General features: G+C 32.8%; 1 long non-coding RNA gene and 1 pseudogene across 4 annotated transcripts in view; one reads left to right on the top strand and one right to left on the bottom strand.

Annotated features, from left to right (window-relative positions):
* The window catches only part of LOC107986306 (uncharacterized), a 201,750-nt gene that overhangs the window by 86,883 nt on the left and 92,144 nt on the right, over positions 1 to 22,723 (top strand). For all 4 annotated transcript variants that reach the window (XR_001741797.2, XR_001741800.2, XR_001741798.2 and 1 more), the window contains one exon: positions 7,659 to 7,763. This is a non-coding gene — a long non-coding RNA (uncharacterized LOC107986306). The remainder of the gene's footprint in view (positions 1 to 7,658; positions 7,764 to 22,723) is intronic.
* Positions 6,848 to 7,721, bottom strand: HAVCR1P2 (hepatitis A virus cellular receptor 1 pseudogene 2; annotated as a pseudogene).

Raw genomic sequence — 22,723 nt, 5'->3', positions numbered from 1 at the left:
CTTCATTTTTTAAATGAAGTATTTAGTAGCTCCATCGCTAAAATATTTTAAATCCTATAAATCCAGATGAATCCAATCTTAAATATCTATGGGACCCCAATTTTTCAATGTTACAGTGAGTCATATAGCTATAAGAACACTGTTGAGTAAATTATAAATTGATAAACAAAAGGAAATATGACCACTTCTTCAGCCTGTAATCTACAGACCAAAACCTAATCACAAATATCCAAAAATTTTCCAGGAAACTTCAGTAGATAGAAAGTAATAGCTTCTAGAAACTGGGGGATGGGAAGATGGTAGAGTGATTGCTTATGGGAACAGAATTTCTCTTTGGGGTGATGAAAAATTTCTATATTAGGTAGTAGTAATGATTGTATAACTTTGAGAGTCTGCTAACAACTTTAAAAGAGTGACTTATGGTATGTAAATTATACCTTGATAAAATAAAATCAGTAGTCTCAGAATTTAAAATCTACAGTAATCTTGATTTGTATCACAATTGTCTTCTAGATAAAGTATAACCTTAATGGTATCTAGTAATAATAATACTAACAAAATAAAATATATAAAGGAAAATGAAAGATTTTTTGCTTTCAAGTTGTTAGGATACAGGTACATTTGTTCCAGCTGTTCATGGCCTGTAATCTATGAATGTACAATTAATTAGGAGAAGGTTTCTCTTTCATTAAGTTTAGTTAATGTCATGCTCTTCTGACTAATCAATTGCTGAGATCTAAATTTATTTAGCTTTATCCAATACTTACAATATGTTTGACTTCAGGAGACCAGAAAGGACACAATCATATATTAGGTGTTTAGTTAGTCTAATGTTTGTTCTTCTTCATTTGAATTTCCCCAGGTTATTAAATAGCAAGAACAAACTAATTCCCCTCTTTTCCCTTTTCCCCTGCTGAAGTAGTATCTGTTGTAAAGAGGAAAAAAATTCTAATAACTCAGGCCTTACTGAGAAACAGAATAGAGATTTTACAGAGGTTAGAGAAGCTTAAATTTTTGTCCAGGAATAGGAGGATATGTTAAATTGAACACCATTAGAATAAGCAGCTTTATTTATGTTACTAACAAGCCTATGTGTACAATAGTACAAACATTCGATGGCAGAATGATGGCTGTTTCCTAGAAAAATCTGCAACAAACACTATGGGTAAACCCAAATCCCAAACCATAGCTTCTTTAAAACCTCAGAATTTTACTATACATAAGCATATAAAACACTGTGCTTAGTGTTTTGGGGAGGTGTGATTATGATTCAATTATTATCAAAGTAAAAACTCCCTCAAGAAAGTGTGATTTTGGCCTAATTTCAGAAGTCGGCAAGCTTCCTACCCTCTAACAGGGCTATTTCTATAACTACATGAACATAACCACTGTGATAACTATAAGAAGTTGACATTTCAAGGACTTTCACAGGCACTGGGTACGGGAGATGAAAAGATAGAAGTTAAGTGATGAAGAATGAACAAAGTTCAAGAAATAGAAAGAAAAGTGTCAAATCACAATGTTAATATATCTGAATGTCTTTCCTTTTTTTCTATTTTTATCATTAAAAATAAAAGCAGAAAGCATCCTCAAGTCTAGTCAAGTGTGAGTTTAAGTGTCCTGTGCCCCCCGCAAAAAAGTCATCAGCTACTTTCAATTTGAATAATCAACCTTTCCAGATACTTCTTTCTTATTCCACATTCTGTTACATTTTAAAACTTAAAATATATGATTTTAATATTTAATTTTAAACAGTTTTCAATTTGCTAATTTAGACTTTATTATAATATTCCTTATTGGATAAAATATTTTGTTAGTGCGTATTGTGAAGTTATTTAATTTAAATTGCAATATAATTACAAATTACTTGAATTTATATCACATACATGAGTTCTATCTTATATTAAGAATAGAACTTATTAGACTTGTTACAGTGAATATATATGTACAAAAGAAGCAAGATTATTTATTCATAGTGCTATTTTGATTCTTTATATTTTGGAAATTCTACACTACATTTCAGGAATACGAAAGAATAGAAAGATAAAGAGAAATTATTGCCAATAATATTGCTAAACCAATCAGTATATTAACTTAATTGTGTCTTCAGTCATATCAGATAATTCAAATTTTTCTATATAATAAAATATTCAGAAAGGCAAAACATTGAAAGATCATATGTTCTACATCTTGTTACTAAATACTGTTGAACTGACCACATTCTAATAGCAAGCCAAGAAACAGATTTATCAGAGTTTGAGTATTTTAGCATTCTTATCTTTGAAAAAGAAGTCATGTGTCCTGGGTCAGCATTTTCAGTAAGACAGATGTAGTAAGACTATCCTCTCCCCTGGGTATAGTTATTCTTTGATGTTTCTTTAAGATACTAACGTGTGCTTAAGATCTGTCTTAGGCTGGACAAAATGAAATGTACATTGTAAGGAAAATCCTTAATTCTATTTTACTTGATGTAGTATGAGTGTGTGCACTTCTAAAACATTTCAACAAGGTTGGAATGGCTTTTTAAAACATGTTTAAAAATATATATACATAATTGACTAAACGAGCATTTCAAGCTACTCCATAAATGAAACACTGAAATAAGTTTCATAGTAATTACAGAACTATTTTAATACTCTACCTAATTCATTTTAAGTATGTTCTATTTTAGAGGATTTGCTTTCAGAAATTATCAGCAGAACTGTAAAAAAAATTCAACAGCAAGCTAAAGATTATGACATTATTAGCATGTTTAAACTAAATTGAGACTGCATGATTTCTGAGGATTTTTACGTTTTCAGAAGAATATGTTAATAAAATTTTGTTTTTACAGCAGCTGATAATTATTCTGTATTTTCTAAGTAAAGGGATTATTCAAAAGCAGAGCTTAGTCTACCATGATGAATGAAAAAACTATGAAGTGTATATTGGCTTTAGAAACATGTAGATCACTGAGGATGCTTTTAAGAGCTATTTCAGTGCAACAGATCTCAGACTTTGACCTATGCTCTATTTCCAGAGCTGTTGTCAGCATTTGCTTTTGGACTTTTGAAACTTTAATGCCTAAGTGTAAAAGCTTTCCCTAGATATCAGTTAGGGTGAACTGCAAACATTATTTTTTACGTATAGTAGAAAAAAAAACACATTTTTTGGTTTGAAAATATTATCTATTTTTAGGGAAAGTATTAATAAAATAATCCTTGTTTGTGTAAAGGTATCTGATAATTTTGCTCTCAAGCTAGTGTCTATATGCATATTACACAGGCTAGTGTGTGGGTATGTGTATGTGTGTGTGTGTGTATATGTACGTATACATTTATTGTTGCTTCCAATAAGTACTATTAAGTACAATCAGTCATTTGAAGTGGTTAATATTCTCACCTGAACAATACAGTTATTTAAAACTGATCATACTTAAGTCAGGTAAACTTTTGTTGTAAAAAAATCATAATATTAATTTCAAGCTGTTTCTAGTACATACATATTGAAATATCATATAGGTAAAGGGAAAATTATTTCTATCATCCTCAATCATGACTGAATTGCAATCCACTCAACTCATTGAATAAACATACATTTTTACAATGCTTAATATCTGTTGTTTTCATAATGCCAGTTACTTTTTATACATAATTTAGACAAAATACTTCTCTGAAAAGTTAGAAATGTTGAAGAAAACAAAAAATAAGAGTTTAGAACTGTGAATATGAAAATGCAGAAAGCATAAAAAGAATCAATTTTATTAAATGAAAAAATATTATTAATGACTATACATACAAATAAAGCTACACAGACACTAAGAGTCCTTCAGAGTTTCTTGTATTTACAAAATTTTTCCAACAATATTTACAGTCATCAGTGAAAGACTGGTTCTGCTACTTCTCAAAGTTGTTTTTTAGTGTTTAAATACACGATTCTAATTTCACCACTCTCTTATTAATGTCTGAAGATAGACTGTAGAAAGTGGGATATCAATTCTGTATCAAAGCATCATAAACAAAACAAAATTCAGTATATTCTAAGACCTTAGTATATTTGCAGAAGAAGATTTTATGTTAACTAAATACATCTTTTTTCCCACTAACCCATTCTACCTCTCAAGTATTAACAATTTTTTTCTACATTATAAGATGATAATCTGGATATGGTGGTTCACACCTGTGGTCCTAGCTGCTGAGGAAGGTGAGGCAGGAGAATCGCTTGAACCAAGGATTTGGAGGCTGCAGTGAATCATGATAACACCACTGCACACCAGCCTGGGTGACAGAGTGAGACTCTGACTCTTAAAAAAATAAATAAATTGATAGGCAATGTATTCAGTATCAACTTTTTTGAAAAAAATAAACGTTATTAAAAAATAAAAGATACTACATAGCAGGAGATTAACGAATGCAACACCATTGAAATTATTTACTGAATTACCAATGCTAGATATGTTGCTAGAAAGTCAACTGTCAGTCTACATATAGAACTCAAGGTCCTACTGCTAACTCTGTGTGCCATCCAGTTGACGCTATGCTCCCTTATGTTCTGTTTCACAGAATTCTAGTGGGTATGCCAATAGTCATTGTGTCACATGCTAAAAACTGTTTCGTAAATGCTGGATTAAACAAAGTAAATCAAATAGCCAAGACCTTTAATGTGTATTACAACTCTTTGGGATGGATATGAAGCAGGCAACATTAAATCAAAGCCTTACTGAAACTAGGCAGATAACAAAAGTAAGCATGCAGAGAAGGCCAGGAGGCTGGCACTAGAGGGTGTGACCTAATGTAGTAGAGCCATGATCAAACACAAATGCCAACAAATGTAGCCAGATCTTTCCAGAGAAGATACACATTTGGGCTATAATTTCAAATCTCCAGGTTTATTAATGTTGGCTTGAATTTAAAAGAAGAAAAATAATCAATGAAGTGTAAATAAAAAATATAGTTAGACCAGATAAGATTGGTACAATTTGAGAAACCTGGTATACATGTTTCTCAAATTTCCTTGCCCACAGACGTTTATTAAGAGGACCTACTAATTTCCTAGGACTCTGCAGAATGGCCTCAAAAATGTTGCCTTAGACAGCAAGCATCCTCCCTTGCTAGACCACTATGGTGTGCGTAATTCTGAACACAAAGCATGAATTATATGAGTGTATTCAAATTGAAATCAAAATTAATTCGAAAGGCTTGTTAAATGTTCGTGTAGAAATATACCTCTATCACTTGGAAATTTATGTGAAAATAAGCTGACCATGCTTCTGACCAAGCGTAAAGATATGCTTACTCTAAACTTTTGTTTAATTCCCATGGAAAAGCAAAAAATAATAATAATTGATTTGTAAGAAAGGAATAATATTAAAATTGATTGGACAGGAAAGAGACCATTTTTTAAAAAACTATTTTAAATATCAAAGTAGCTTGAGAACACTTTAAAATTTATAATTTTGGTCAAAATTATTGACACTCTCAAACAACAGGACTGTATTTGCAAAATAACTTTTCTAGGGCAAAGAGCCTTTTTCCTTACTCTCTTTCTTTTTTCTTCTAATTTCTGCCATGCCTCATTCTAAAAATTAGTTCAGAGAGCCTGCCAGTTGTCTACATATGTACCTAGCACAGACATAAAAGGCATAGCATAGATGTGTTGAGTCATATGGCAATTATTTTCTTCCCCTGGTGTCAACTTGGTCCATACTCATAACCCTGCAGACGAGATATGGCACCAGAAATTACACATGGCAAATGTGGTTTTCTAGTTTTTTTTTTTTCTAACTTCCAAGATATCTGTCCTCTTTCCAGGGAAAACACTTTATATTTATATTTCTAGAACCATGAGAAACCAGATCCACCTATAAAGATAAATTAGACTCACTTCCATTTTCCCAAAGGGGATATAAAATCCTGTGCACGCCTATGATTGGAGAATTCTAAAAAATTATAACTTTAAGTTACAGGATATGATGGTTAATTTTACGTGTCAACTTGACTGGGACAAGAGTTTCCCAAATTAGATATTACTTCTGGAGGTGTATGCGAAGGTGTTTCCGGATGAGATTATTATTTGTATTATTTGCACTGGTGAACTAAGTAAAGCAGATGCCTTTCCTATTTGTGGATGTGCTTTATCAAATTCACTGAGGACCTGAATAGAATCAAAGGCAGAGAAAAAGAAGAATTTATCCATTTTTTTCTACCTCACTGCTTGTACTGGGTCATCTCATCTCATCTTCTTCTGCCCTTGGACGGCAATTTACATTGGCATTCCTGGTTTTTAAGTTTTCAGACTTGGACTGAATTACGTCACAGGTTTTTTTTGGGTTTCCTGTTTGCAGATGGCAGATTGTAAGACCTCTCATCTTCCATAACTTTGTGAACCAATTACTCTTAATATTACTCATAATATATCTCTCTAATACACAAGATATAAAACAAGTAAAAAGGTAATCATGAAATCAGATTTGCTGATTTTACGAGCTATTCGTCTCTCTTTCACAGCGTTGGTCGTGAGTATAAGAGTTCATTTCCTGGCTCCTTATTGAATATTTTCTTTTTGGATACAATATTCATGGGATCTAAAGAGAATGTACAATTGTGTAATGTTCATGTTTGGGGGAGAGCTCTGCAATATTCAGAAAGATTGAGACAGTTTTGGAATAAAGTGTTAGGACTATATTACAACAAAGTTGGCTGTACAAGATTTGAGCTAGAGAGTCACTCTACCCAAATGTCACTGACAGGTTGGAATATCAGATAAAAGTGACACAGAAAATTGCCCTGGAGCTCAAAAGGGGTCCGACCTATTAATACATGATCCCTGAAGTAGTGGAAGTAATGCCCTAGAGTGCCATGGGATCTTAATCTATGAAGTAAAGCTTCTCCTCTAATGTAGGTATTGTCTTCTGCGGAGACATGCCCTTCAGCTGCACTTTGTAAAGCTCCAATTTAAGGACTAGTCAGTGAAACTATATTTAGTTGCTAGAGGTTGTCTGGTGTATACATACTTTTTGGTAGTCATGACAACCAAAAAAATGAGCAGCACCACAGCAGATTTACTGACTTCAACATAAAAGTTCTCAGTGGTGATCATCTACAAATGTTTTGAGTCAAGGACACTTGAGTTTGATTACTATTCCAAGGGACATTTGAAGACTGTCATAGTTCCATTTCCATCTGTTGGGTAAGAGTGCAGTAGGGAGATGGTGGGTTGTGTCCTTTTCTTTTCTACACTGTCTTCAGGTGGGTTTAGCTGGCTGTATTAACGAAGTAACTACTGGCTTGTGACTCTAAGGTACATTTGACCAGAGGTAGAGAGCCCAGGTGATGTTAGAACACTGGTATCCCAGCTGGTTTAATATCCAATTATAGGGTGCTTTTTATGTCATTCAATCACTGCTTGTGCTCAATGATGCAAAAATAGAGGCCACTGTCAGTTTTGACTGCATTCTCCATAGTCAAAAATACATTACCTTTCAAGAGGAACCCCCTCACCTTAAAGAACCAATGTTTGTGGAAGTTGACATACTATCCATTTGTCCATACAATTAAATCTTGGAACTGAAATACAAAACATGTTACTTGCTCCCAATATGTGGTCATGACAGTTTCATTAGCCACTGAGTAGAGACAGCATGGCATGGCAGGCTCACTCATCACTCCACTTTCTTGTAGATAAGAAGCTACAGCATCTGTCAAGAGCCGTATGTAGCTTGAGATGACTACCTGAAGATGTATCATGGTATCAGCTGGTTAGTTAAGAAGTCGTTTTCCAGCTTCGTATGTACAGCCTTTCCTTTCCACTTGTGGTCTGCTTGTAAAAGAATCAAGTTTTAAAAACTATTATACTTAACTCTTTATATTTAACAATTAAAATGATAGGCTCATGTAACTGTCAAGTTGGGTTCAAATCCTGGTGTCATCATATATCAGTTGTATGATTTCACAATATTTTTCATCTTGTGTAAACAATAGATAACAATGGCATTTTCCTGACAGTTATTCTGTAATCAGACATATAACTGTATCTAAAGCCCTGAAAAATATTTTTGGCATGTTATATTATTGAAGTATAAATTATAATATTAGATTTGCAACAACAACATCAATATGATGATGATGATGATGCCGATGTCATTGTCTGACTTGCACATTTAACCTACATCCTCTTTTTCCTAACATGCCATGTTATTTCTTACATTACAAAACATATCATTACTTATAATTTCTATCATGGTCTTATTATCATGAAACACTCTTGTAATGCTGCTGCTTCTTTTCTATTTAATTTTAATGAAACCTTAACTGTTTATATCTAGGAGCATTTTGAAATGAAATAAACTCATTTACACATATACCTAAATGTGCTGTCAAATAATATTGTTATCGTTACAATTTTATAGATGAAATAACAATAATTTGTTCTACAAAACTTTACTGAATCTCAAAATACAATATTTAGGTAAACACTAATATTTGACTAGGAAGTCATGAGTTACATATTTGGGGTTAAATTATTCTATTTTACGCTTTCTGATTCAGGAATAAAAATAAATTCATATATGTCAACATAATCTCTACCCCTAACATGTGATTGGAAGTGGTAAATAATCTATTTGAAAAAGGTAAAGTTGCACACATTGTAACATATTTTTATTATTCTGTTCTATAAGGGAAATTGCCATTTTTATTTATCTCTTATTTATATATTTTTAAAGTAAATATTAAGTGTAAGAATATTTTCATAAAGTTTCAGTTTTCTTGTATAAAATTATTTCAGCTACTAAAAATATGGAAAAAAGTGACAGCCCCAGAGCTCAACAAGAGAACATTTATAATGTTTCAATTTTATGTATTTGATATTCATATTAAATTTGCACATAAGACTTTCTAAATTGCATTAAAAATACATAAATATTATTTGAACATTAAAATAGCAAGAAAAGGGTAAGAAAAAAACTGGTGATGGAGAAGCTATCAATCAAGAGAACATTAGCAATTCCATCTTATATTCTGTAATAAAATTTGCTGTATAGAAGTGATTGCATCGAAATTATTGGAATATTTGAATGCAACTTCAAAACTATGAAAAATGAGGCTTTCATTGCTGTAAAATAAATTAGGAAGCAATATTTTGCTAGCAAAGGCTTTTCAGTAACACAGTTCATAACTATTCATGGTACCATTAACAGATGTCTTTGCTTGTTCTGTGAGCTGCCTTATGATGTTGTATTTGGCATTACTTTAAATTTAAAATGAACGTAGACAACTTGTTCTAAGTGATAATAAAAAGAACTCTGATATAGAGATCCTGTGGGAAATTATGCAATAATCTTACCAACATAACTAATTTTCTTTTTCAGAAATCGTGATTCCTACTACACTTAGAGAGTTATCAAAAGTATTGTTTAACATCATCATTTCCATATTAACGTTTCAGCAAGTTACACAAATACAAAATTTCATATAAGAAACACAACATTCTATTTGGAGAACAAGTTTTTACTTCTAAATTAAAAGTAATATAAAGTCAATGTTAAAGATGTTATATGTTGCTTGTTTACACCAAAAATACTTAATAGGATTGATTTCTCTAAAATACTGACATTCTAGTGGCCAGAATATTACAAGTGAGATAAATTATTAAAAAAAAAGAAATCGTAGTTAAATTGGCCTTTGCTAATCATCTATTAGAATCAAATTTCTAAGAACATTGAATAATTGCTATGTAAAATCTATAGTAGAGCACTCTTACATTTATTATGAATACATACACATACCTGTGTAGGGTGCCTATCAGAACCTGTGTATATGGTAGAAAAATTTCAATGACTTTTTAGGTTTAGGTAATTAATTTAAACCAAAACATTGACTCTTCATTGCGAAATTGGGATAAAAATAGCTACCTTATGTTGTAGTGAGAATTTAATTAGATAAGGACTAAAATTCTCTAGTTTAATTTCTCATATGTAACATGTTCTAAATGTTAGTGGATATATTCTATCAATTCTTTTGACACTGGTACTGGAGGCAGGGAGCTGGGTGGTAGATCTTCAAATAAGTAACACTAGAAACTTCCAAAAATATATAGGCTTATGAAAATGAAAACTGCAAAATGCCCACTTAAAATTCCCTTTTTCCTATGCTTACCTCAATGTCACTTTAAAAGCAATAGTTAATAATTATTTACAATGGACAGGTCCTAGGCAATATGTTATAAAAGAGATTGAAAAAAGAAAGAAAACACCTAAAGAATCATGTAAACTTTAGGCATGGAGAATGCAATTCCTGCTCTTTTCCATTGTTTTGCCTAAGAGAGTATTTTGTGTAAATTCAGAACACATTTACTAAACACTAACAGTAGTCTATAATTATTTATCTATGTAAAAATATTATACAATTGGACCATTTATCTCTCATAGATATTCCACATAATACTTCCCCAACTTGGAATTTGATTGTCTTATGTATTTCCTGACAAAGTTGAATTCAGTCTCTATGTATACAATAGGTCCCTTCTTTGTGTGCTTATGCAGACATATCAAAATAAGAGTATTTTTAAGAACAGTTAATCATATGATTTCGTATCTAAAAAACTCTAAAGACTTTATAAAAATTTTTTGATTTGATAAATGACTTAAGAAGAGATTCATGATACAAAATCGATGTACAAAAATCAGTAACATTTCTACACATTAATAATGACCAAGCTGAGAACAAAATCAAAAAGGCAATCCCATGTACAATAGCTGCAAAGAAAGAAATACATAGGAATATATTTAAACAATAATATGAAAGATTTATACAAGAAAAACTACAAAACACTGATGAAAAAAATTGTAGATGACACAATCAATAGAAAAAATCATATGCTCATGGATCAGAAGTATTAATATTGTTAAAATGACCATACTGTCCAAAGCAATCTACAGATTCAATGCAAACCCCAGCAAAAAACTAGTGTCATTTTTCACAGAATTAGGAAAACCAGTCCTAAAATCCATATGAAACCAAAAAAGAGCTCAAATAGCCAAAACATTCCTAAGCAACAAGAACAAAGCTGGAAGTGTTACATTACCTGACCTCAAATTATTCTACAAGGCTGTATTTACCAAAACAGCATAATACAGTTGTGAAATTAGTCACATATACCAAAGGAACATAATAGAAAACCCCAAAATAAAGCCATTTAACCATAGCCAAATGATATTTGACAAAGTTGAGAAAAACTTATACTGGGAAAAAGACACACTTTTTAATAAATGGTGCTGGAAAAATTGGATTGTCATATGCAGAAGAATGAAACTGGACCCCTACCTCTCACCACATATAAAAAAAATCAACTTAAGTTGGATTAAAGACTTAAATATAAGATCTGAAGCTATAAAAATACTAGAAGAAAAACCTCAGGAAAACACTTCTGGACATTGGTCCAGGCAAAGAATTAATGATTAAGAACTCAAAAGCATAGGCAACGACAACAACAACAAAAAAGAAAAACAGACAAATGGAACTTAATTAAACTAAAAAAGTTCTGCACAGGCAAAGGAAATAACCAACAGAATGAACAGATAACCTACAAAGTGGGAGAAAATATACAGGCAGACTTTGCATCTGGTACAGGACTTATGTCTTGTTCCATAACATACACGGAACCCAAACACCTCAAAAAAATGTAACATGTCTATTCATCCAAACAGCATGAATAGACATTTTTAAAAGGAGACATACAAATGGCCAAAAAACATATGAAAAAAATGGTCAAAATCACTAAACATCAGAGAAATTAAAATTAAAATTACGAGATATCTTGATGAGGATGTAGAGAAAATGAAATGCTTTTACACAGTTGGTGAGAATGTAAATTGGTACAATCACTTGGAAAACAGTATGAAGCCAGAAAATATAATTTTTATTAAAATAATATATCAAGACTACTGCTAAAATTTAAGAAAGAAAACGATAAAATTTTGCAATTATCAAAGTTAAATTAATATATTTTTATTTCTTTTTATCAAAGCATCCTTTGATACTAAAATTTTGACCAAAAATTGTGATATAATAATTCATAGAAGAGAAGAAGCTTTTGAATTTTTTTCACAAATCTGTTGCAACTTTAATTATGAAGTTTATGCTTTTCTTTTGTTCTCCACACACCTACTGTTATGTATGTAAAAGTTTAAGGAGAAACATATGGGCAATTATTATATAGACGTATATATTACTTAGATCTATAGCGTAAAGCTTGTAGTTTTCACCTCACCTCAAAATTATTAAAATATATACTTTTATGTCTAAACAAAGTAAAATAAAAAGATCATTGATTCTCAAGCTGGAAAGAAACTAAGATGTTTTATAACTGAACTCTCAAATTTTACATGTGAAGAATTTCAAGTAAGTAAAATAAATATTTCATCTTGCTCTGCTTTCTGGTGCACTTAGGGGTGAAATTAGACTTAGAATCTATACCATCTAGCTCAAACTCTAGAATGTTTACAGTGCATTTTATTCTTCAATAACGAAAGTTTTTTTTTTTTTTTTTTTTTTTTTTTTTTTTTTTTTTTTTTGAGACAGAGTCTCACTTTGTCGCCCAGGCTGGAGTGCAGTGCAGTGGCGCGATCTCGGCTCACTGCAAGCTCTGCCTCCCGGGTTCACGCCATTCTCCTGCTGTAGCCTCCCGAGTAGCTGGGACTACAGGCGCCCGCCACCATGCCTGGCTAATTTTTTGTATTTTTAGTAGAAAAGGGGTTTCTCCATGTTAGCCAAGACGGTCTTGATCTCCAGACCTGGTGATCCACCCGCCTCGGCCTCCCAAAGTGCTAGGATTACAGGCGTGAGCCACCGCGCCCAGCACGAAAGACTTTTTACACTTTAATAATAAAATTAAAGAAAATAATGCATATTTATAATTAGATTAAAATACAATTAACTGTGTACTTTCTTGTACTATGTTAAGTATCTAACACACCAAAATATAACATCTAACAGGTCAGTTTTCTTATATCAAATATTCACAAACTAATATTTCTTAATGATACAGTGATCTTATGATTCATATACCAATAAATTATTAAATTTCAAGGGCACCAAACTCAACTTAATTTGACATCCAGATATTAAATTATTTGAAATTTAAAAGTATAAATTTTATTTTCATTTTTTATATTATAAATGTTTCCTCATCAAAAGTAATCCACATGTATTCAACATGGCTAATTGTTCTGTAGAAAGAAATTAAAATATCTAATTAGTGCGGGCATTTATTTATCATCTAATTCTTGCTTATTTACATGATTGTATATGCTTTAAAATGTCACCGATGAATACATTTGTATACTATATACATTCAGCTATTTATTAATTTATTCAATAAATATTTGTGAATGTGCAGGGACTCTTCTATGCACTTAGAGTCTATCAGTAAAACAAAGTTAAAATGATTTCTGTATTACACATTCTAGTTGGAAAGAAGATAATGACAATATAATAAATAATGTAGTATATTATAAATTTAAAGTCATGTTAATGTAACATATTAGAAAGTTATAAATAATGTAGAGAAAAAATATATGAGCATAAATAGTATCACGTGAGTCATGGGGAAGGTAAAATGCAATTTTCCACATTGATGGAAGGTGTAGGTATAATTGAGAAAGCGGTATTTGAGTAAAAATGTCAAGGAGGTGAAGAGGTTGGAGAAATAGATATATGGGGGAAGAAATTTGAGGTAGAGGCAAAAGACAAAACAAAAGTTGCAAGACAGGATATGCCTTGCATTTTTCAGAATCAGTAAGGAGTCTGGTACTGCTATAGAAGAGAGAGAGAGGGTAATAATGAGGTCAGAAAGAGATCAGAGTTAGGTAGCATTCAGCCATCTATACTTGTCTTTTGCTCAGAAAACCACTGGGCTTCCCTTGCAGCACTATTCACAGTAGAAAAGACATGGAATCAACCTTAATGTCCATCAATGATAGAATGGATGAAGCAAATGTGGTGCATATGCACCATAGACTACTATGCAGCCATAGAAAGGAGCGAGATTACGTCCTCTGCAGGGACATAGATGGAGCTGGAGGCAATTATCCTTAGCAAGCTAACACAGGGACAGAAAATCAAATACCAGATGTTCTTTATAAGCGGGATGTAAATTATGAGAACATATGGACACATAGAGGGGAACAACACAATCTGGGGCCTTTGAGAGGGTAGATGATAAAAGGAGGAAGAGGATCAGGAAAAATAACTAATGGGTACTAGGCTTAATACCTGGGTGATGAAATAATCTGTACAACAAACCCCCATGACACAAGATTACCTATGTAACAACCTGCAGTTTTACCCCTGAACTTAAAACACAAGTTAAAAAAAAAAAAAGAAAAAGAAAAAGAAAACCACTGGGGAATTTGAAGCTAAGTAATTGAATGATTTGCATTTTAGAAGAATAATTCTGGGGGTGGTATAAAGAATAGAGTAGAATCAGGGCACCAGTTAAAAGGTTACTACAATAAATTCCTATGACTTAAACTGAGGTGTTGAAGTAGAGATTATTTAATTGTAAGCCATGAGGAGTATTCAGATACATGTGTCAAGAGAAAGAGAGAAGAATGATTCCAAGTTTTAAAGCTGAGCAACTGGAATGGTGGGGTTATCATTAGTTACGCAGGGAAAAATTACAGGTGGAGTTTGAGGTCAGGATTGTGTGACATAAATTTCTGTTGAAGATATGTTAATTTTGATATTTTAATTGTACCTCCATGAACCTATGCTAGCCATTTGCTATCATTTAAAAAAAAAAAAAACAGAAGTGAGGAGATAAGCCATATCTTGGAGATATAAGTTTGAGGAAATCGTCAAGGGAGAAAGTAAAGAAAGGAACAAAGAGGAATGAATCCTGGAATTATATATATAACAAGTATAACAATTCTGAGAGTGTAGAATCTGAATAGGCAAGACAAAAGGAGAAGAAATGTGGTGAGCTGGAAGTAGGGGGGGAAGAGGATGTAATAAGAACGGGGATGATCCATATGTTATATATTGGTCTTTGATGAGCTTGACAGGAGCAATTTTGGTGAAACCATGTAGTTAAAGCTTGTTTAGACAAAGGATCAAAGAGCATGGGAAAATGTACATGGAAGACATCATATGAAGCCAAGTCTTTCAAGAACTTTTTATGAAGACATGAGCAGAGAAGTTGTGGTGTTATCTGAAAGAAGAAAAGTTAATCAGGGTAAAGATGTTATTAAAGTGGTAGGGTGAAGACAGAACAAGATTGTAGAATAAAACCTTCTAGTGAAAATTCCCTCAGGAACATCAATTCAAACAACTATTTATGCAAGAAAACACCATCTCAAAAACTAAAGAAACCAAGTAAGAGATCACAGGATATGGTTTAAGCATAATAACAAGAAAATACACAATAAAGAGAGTAGAAAAGACAGTCTTGCATTGCCTACACCACCCCTACCCCAGCACCAGGCTGTGCAGCAAGAGAGATAATCTGTCTTCTTGGAGAAGGGAGAGGAAAAAGAGTGCAGACACTTATCTGAAGCTCAGCACCAGCCTCACTACAGTAAAACACAGCACGGGGCACTATCCCATGACATTGATTTCAGGCTGACGCTGGAGGACAGATTCTAGACCCACTCCAAGATGGAAGAGAATCTGCTGCTTCGGCAGGATACACTGGAGTCCCAGCCTGCTTCACCACCAGCTGACTAAAGCAACCATGGGCCCTAAATAAATATCAGTAACAGTAAGGCCATAGTGGCTGCAGGTTTTGTATAAGCCCTAGGGATGATACAGCATGGGATCAGCTATAGTGGCCTCAGGATTGTCTGTTATCCCTCCCTTAACTCCAGATACTGCAGCACAGAGAGAGACTCTTACTGAGGGAAAAAAGTGAAAAATGAGAGAAGGACTTTGTCTGGGAACCTGTGAAACTCTCCTTGGTCTCCCCCAGAACCATTAGGGCTGGGAAATTCAGAATCTGCAATAATGGCACAGTGAACCTGGGCTTAGGGCACACTCTAGTGCTGAAATGGTTGCAGTGACTAGAGGCTTTGGGAACTGAATAGTCAGTTGCCTTTGAATTTTTGGAAGGTCATCTGAAGAAGGATATGTACAAACAAGGCCAGACTGTAAAGCCTGGACCAAATAACTAATTCTTTAACAACCAGACACTGATGTATGTTCAGAAACATTAAGACCATTCAGGGAAATTTGATCTCACCAAAATGACTAAATAGGGGACCAATGACAAACCCTGGAGAGAGAGATATTTCTGATGTCTGAAACAGAGAATTCATAATAGCTCTTTTTAGGAATCTTAACAAACTTCAAGAAAACGTAAAGAAGCCATTCAAAAATTCATCACAAGAATTTAACAGAGATTGAAATAATAAAGCCAAAATTGACAAATGGGATCTAACTAAACTAAAGAGCTTCTGCACAGTAAAAGAAAGTACCATCAGAGTGAACAGGCAACCTACAGAATGGGAGACAATTTTTGCAATCTACTCATCTGACAAAGGTCTAATATCCAGAATCTACAAAGAGCTCAAACAAATTTACAAGAAAAAAACAAACAACCCCATCAAAAAGTGAGCAAAGGATATGAACAGACACTTCTCAAAAGAAGACATTTATGCAGCCAACAGACACATGAAAGAAGCTCATCATCACTGGCCATCAGAAAAATGCAAATCAAAACCACAATGAGATACCATCTCACACCAGTTAGAATGGCAATCATTAAAAAGTCAGGAAACAAGAGGTGCTGGAGAGGATGTGGAGAAATAGGAACATTTTAACACTGTTGGTGGGACTATAAACTAGTTCAACCATTGTGGAAGACAGTGTGGCTATTCCTCAAGGATCTAGAACTAGAAATACCATTTGACCCAGCCATCCCATTACTGGGTATTATAAACCCAAAGGATTATAAATCAAGCTGCTATAAAGACACATGCACACGTATGTTTATTGTGGCACTATTCACAATAGCAAAGACTTGGAACCAACCCAAATGTCCATCAACGATAAATTGGATTAAGAAAATGTGGCACGTATACACCATGGAATACTATGCAGCCCTAAAAATGATGGGTTCATGTCCTTTGTAGGGACATGGATGAAGCTGGAAACCATCATTCTCAGCAAACGATTTCAAGGACAGAATACTAAACACCGCATGTTCTCACTCATAGGTGGGAATTGAACAATGAGAACACTTGGACACTGGAAGGGGAACATCACACACTGGTGCCTGTCGTGGGGTGGGGGTAGGGGGGAGAGACAGCATTAGGAGATATACCTAATGTAAATGACGAGTTAATGGGTGCAGCACACCAACAAGGCACATGTATACATATGTAACAAACCTGCATGTTGTGCACATGTACCCTAGAACTTAAAGTATAATCATAATAATTAAAAAATCAAACAGAAAGCCTGTAGCTGAAAAATACAGTGGATGAACTGTATGAATTGTGGATGAATTGTGATGTATAAACCACTCATGTCTTTAGGTAAAAAACTAAAAGACAAAATGGTTAAAAATGATAATAACTACAACAATTTGCTGCTCCAGTGGGATACACCCAAGAGAAGCCAAATAATAAGATATAAATTGAAACGTCAAAAAATCAAAATGCGTGTGAGAGGATGGAGTTAAAATGTAGTGGTTTTCAGTTTTGTTTACGTGCTTATTTTCTTTGTAATGAAAGTTGTTATCAGTTTAAAATACTTTGGTATAAATGTAAGCTTTTTTTCACTTTTATTTTAGATTCAGGGGTTAAATGAGTACATTTGTTACATGGAAATATGGCATAATGTTGAGGTTTGGAGAACAAATCCTGTCACCCAGTTAGTGAGCATAGTACCCGATAGGTAGTCTTTTAACCAAGCCCTCCCTCCTTCCACACTCTAGGAGTCTGCAGTGTCTATTGTACTCATATTTATATCCATGTGTGCTCAATGTTTAACTCCCACTTATAAGTGAGAACATATGGTATTTGGTTTTCTGTTCTTGCATTAATTTACTTAGGATTTTGGCCTCCAGCTCCATCTATGTTGCTGCAAAGAATATGATCTCATTCTTCTTTATAGCTGCATATGAATCTTAAAATTCATATGGAAAAGTAAAACAGAACAAAACAAAATAAACAAAGATAGCGAGAGCAATCTTAAGCAAAAAGAACAAAGCTAGAGACAGCACATTACCTAATTTTAAAATATACTACAAAGCTATAAAACAACATGTTATTTGGTGTAAAAACAGACACATAGACCAATAGGACAGAGTAGAGAACGCAGAAATACATCCATGCATTTACAGCTGACTAACTTTTGACAAAGGTGCCCAAAGCACATATTGGCAAGAGGACAGTTTCTTCAACAAATGGTGTTGGAAAAACTGGATATCCACATTGATAAAAATTAAACTAGACCCCTATTTCTTACCATATGTGAAAATCAAATAAAAATAAATTAAATGGTTAAATGTAAAGCCTGAAACTATGAAACCACCAGAAGAAAACCTAAGGGAAACACTCCATAAAAGTGGGATGTGCAAGTATATTTTGAATAAGACCTCAAAAACACAAGCATCAAAAACAAAAGTGGAAAAATTGAATTACATCAAATTAAGAAGCTTTGCATAACAAAAGCAAAAATTAACAGAGTGAAGACACAACCTATGGAATGGAAAAAAATATTTGCCTACTATACATCTGATAAGGCATTAATATCCAAATATATATAAAGAGTTCAAATAACCCAATAACAAGAACACAAATAATCAGATTTTAAAAATGAGCAAAGGACCTCGATAGACACTTCCCAAAATGAGACATACAAATGACCAACATGCATACGTAAAGATACTCCACATCACTAATTATCAGAGAAATGCAAATTAAATCCAAAATGAGATAGCACCCTTTACCTGTTAGAATGATTTTTCTCAAAAAGGCGAAAGATAGCTAATAGCAACCATGCAAAGAAAAGAGAAAACTTGCATACTGTTAGTGGGAATGCAAATTAATACAGCCATTATGGAAAATGGTATGGTGCTTCCTCAAAATACTGAAAATAGGACTGCCAAAAGATATAGCAATCCCACTACAGAGTATATATTTAAAGAAATTGAAATCAGTATGTCAAGGAGTTAACTAGATTTCCATGTTCATTACCGTGTTACTCATAGTAGCCAAGATATGTAATCAAATTAAGTATCTATCAACAAATAAATGGATAAAGGAAATGTATTATATATACATATTTGAATACTATTCAGCCTGAAAGAAGAAAAAAGGTCTGTCATTTATGACAATGTGGATGAACATGGGAGACACTGTGTTGAGTGACATGAGACAGGCACAGAAAGGCATATATCACATGGTCTCATTTATATGAGTAGTGTAAAAAAGTTGAACTCACACAAATAGAGAGTAGAATGGTGGTTACTAGGAGTTGGGGGAGAGGAAGGAGACTGATGACGTGTGGGCCAAAATATAAAAAATTTCAGTGCTATAGGAGGAATAAATTCAGGAGACATATTGTACAATATTGTGACTATAGTTAATAAAAACGTATTGTATTTTTGAAAATTGCTAAGAAAATAGATTTTAAGTGGTCTCACCACAAAAATAAGTATGTGAGAAAATGCATCTTGATTAGCTTGATTTTGCTATTTCACAGTGTATATATTTCAAAACAACATGTACACAATAAATACATATAATCTGTATTTGTTGATTACAATTTTAAAAATAAACTATACATTGTTATTACATCATACATTTTATTAATGGTCATATCACTGTATACATATTTACCAAATAAAAGCTTTAACTGAGAAACAGGAGTTTTTTGGCAAGTTTTAATATTGTTAATCGATAAATATATCCAGTAGCTATTCATTCAATAATACCAGTATTTTGGTGTGAATATTGTGATGCCTTCTAGTTGAATAGCTCATTTGTTATGTAGCCTTTTTAATTCAAATGATTAGGTGAAAAAGAAAAAAAGCACACAAAATAAAAAATATAAATAAAAATGAAAATTAGGTTGAAGATATAGGCTGCTCAGAGAGTTCTCACTTTCTCACTCAGTTGTGATATATGTTTAATTGTACTTTCTTAAGTTTTTCTGACTTAGTTTTTGATATTTTTCTAATGTGACTGGAATGTACGTTTAATTTTAGGTAGATGTTTGAAAGAATCCAAGCAACACATTTCTGTCTTGTTCAGGACACTGAGTTAATCTTATAATATTATAATAAATATATTTCCAAGCTGTTACTGGGGTTACCATTAATGTTAGACATACATTCTATTTCCCTCTTGGAGAGACAGCATACACAATAAATAAAATTGTTCATAATGTAACATATATAAGTTTCATAAACACAAAGTCTATTCAAGAGTAAGTTCAAATAAATGATGATATAATCAATCTTCTAATCAATCGTCTAAAAGTTTTATTTAAAAATTAATTATCCAATGATTAAAATGATTTATAAGGAAGTTATCCAGATATGTTGCAATCCTAGAATCACAACTGTCTACAGTAGGGACTGATGACATTTTATTATTAAATGCCAATTTTAACCAGCTTATTAGTCTTGATATTTTAATAAGGATTGGCTTTTTATAATGAATGTGGGACTCTTTAATCCCACACATAATTAGTTCATTCTGATATGTTCTACAGATTATCAAAAATCATAGAATATCTCCAAGAGCAACTTCTAAGAGATTTCCTTTTCCATTATTTTGGAAGTAACTAAAATAAACTTAATAAAGTTACTCATATCTCAAATGTTTTCTCTTCCAACTAATGTATATATGATTTTCCATATCCCAAATTCATTTAAAAAATTTATGTCTATATACACTTTAGTTTATAGGTATTCTAAGAGTTGGGAATTCTGATTTAAAAAAATTTTTCAAGACAGAAAGGAACAAACTGTAAAATTTTTCATCCTTTAAATCCTTCCATCCCTCTTCCATTCACTCATCTAAAAAAACTGAATAAAATGCATGGGATACAACATATGTATTATAGTTCACATGGAAGATTATTGCTGTAATCTTTTAATTAGTTAAAGACAAGGAAACGTGGTTAACATATTTGTCCTATCCGTATGGTTTATATATCAAGCTTTGCGTTTATGTTCCACATAAATTTCTACCATGAATCTTCCCTCACAGTATACAAAATGATATAGTAATCAATAGTATAAGCCATTAGACTTCCAACTGAGGTGTGAGTATCTCTAGGAATAACGCAAAGCTGTCAAAAAGTTAACTAAGCAGAGAATTTGGAGGAATTCAATTTCCAGGTATTCAACTTTCATATATATTGTATTCTGCCATGTTTCTAAAATATCAATTAACTTATCAGCAATTGAAAAATGGGGAAATTATGTTGAATGAAGTGAACATATGTTAGAATATGAACTATTTTCTATAGTAAAGAGAGCCAGATTATCATAAATTAAACTAAAAATCTTTAGCAGAAAAGGAGAAAGCTTGGCTACTGCCCAGAGAGAATCCTTATTTTCTTTCTTTTTTAAAAAAATAATAAAATGAATGCCTGTAACAGATTATCCTTAAAGGTGCACATCCCTAACCTTGGAATAGTTCTAGGCTCCTAGCTTGTTGATACTTCTTCTAGTGCTTAGAGGCGCAGCTACATCTGCATTATCTCAGGGTCCGCAAGCTAGTATTTCTACCTTATTTTTCATTTTGGAGGGCACATTTTTTTCTATCCCTGTAGGAAATCTATAGCCATAGTGAGCTTCCTACGTTGGCTAATGGAGTTACTTCTCAAACTTCTCAGTGTTTTTGTTATTGTTGCCCTTACTAATTTGTGTGTGTGTGTGTGTGTGTGTGTGTGTGTGTGTTATTTCTGAGTTGTACCAGGTTCAAGTGGATTGGCTCAACCTTATTTTTCCAATAAGCCCTGATTATTTTAAGATTTTTTAGAACTCAGAATTCACATAGAATACATATACTCTGTTATAGGATTATCAAAATTCTTCTGTTAATTGTTCTCAAACTGTTTTGCACCTAAGTGTCAAGGTGGCCCAGAAGATTGTATGCTTCCCTTTTTCCAAGTATCTTTCCCCAATCTCCTACCTTACCACTTAACAAGGGAAATGAACAACTCACATCTATCCTGAATTCTCTTTTGGTGTTTTTAACTGATATTAAAACACAGTTGAAACAAACTTGCAGTCAATCTGAAATACTGGTGTCAGTGATGGTACCATACGTCATAGAATAGCACATGACATGCAAGAAACTGTTGGTGCGCTGATCATGGCAATGACAGAGGATTTGTCTTATAGATAAAGGAAACTACTGGTTCTTCAAATAATCCCCAGTCAATAATTAATTTCTGCTATGATAGCCAGCAAATGTTCTCAGTGATAAAAATTTTTATTTAAATGCTTGCCTAGGAATTCAAGTAGAGAAGAATTTAACAATATTGAACAACTATGTTCAATTTTGTATTAGTTATGGTCCAGGCAGAAATCTGAAAAAATAATTTTAAAAGTAAGGATTATTCATTAGTAAAAGGAGATTGACTATGTAAAGGGACATTGAAAACACTAAGAAATGCAAGGATTACAAATGTAGGGGACACTAAGAAATGCAAGGATTACAAATGTAGGGGACAGCCACTAGCTGTAGCTCTGACAAACAGTACAATGGAGTGGAATAAATTTGGAA

This window comes from Homo sapiens, chromosome 4, assembly GCF_000001405.40.
Source record: "Homo sapiens chromosome 4, GRCh38.p14 Primary Assembly".
Classification (NCBI taxonomy): domain Eukaryota; kingdom Metazoa; phylum Chordata; class Mammalia; order Primates; family Hominidae; genus Homo; species Homo sapiens.
This window is presented reverse-complemented; position numbering and strand designations above follow the sequence as displayed.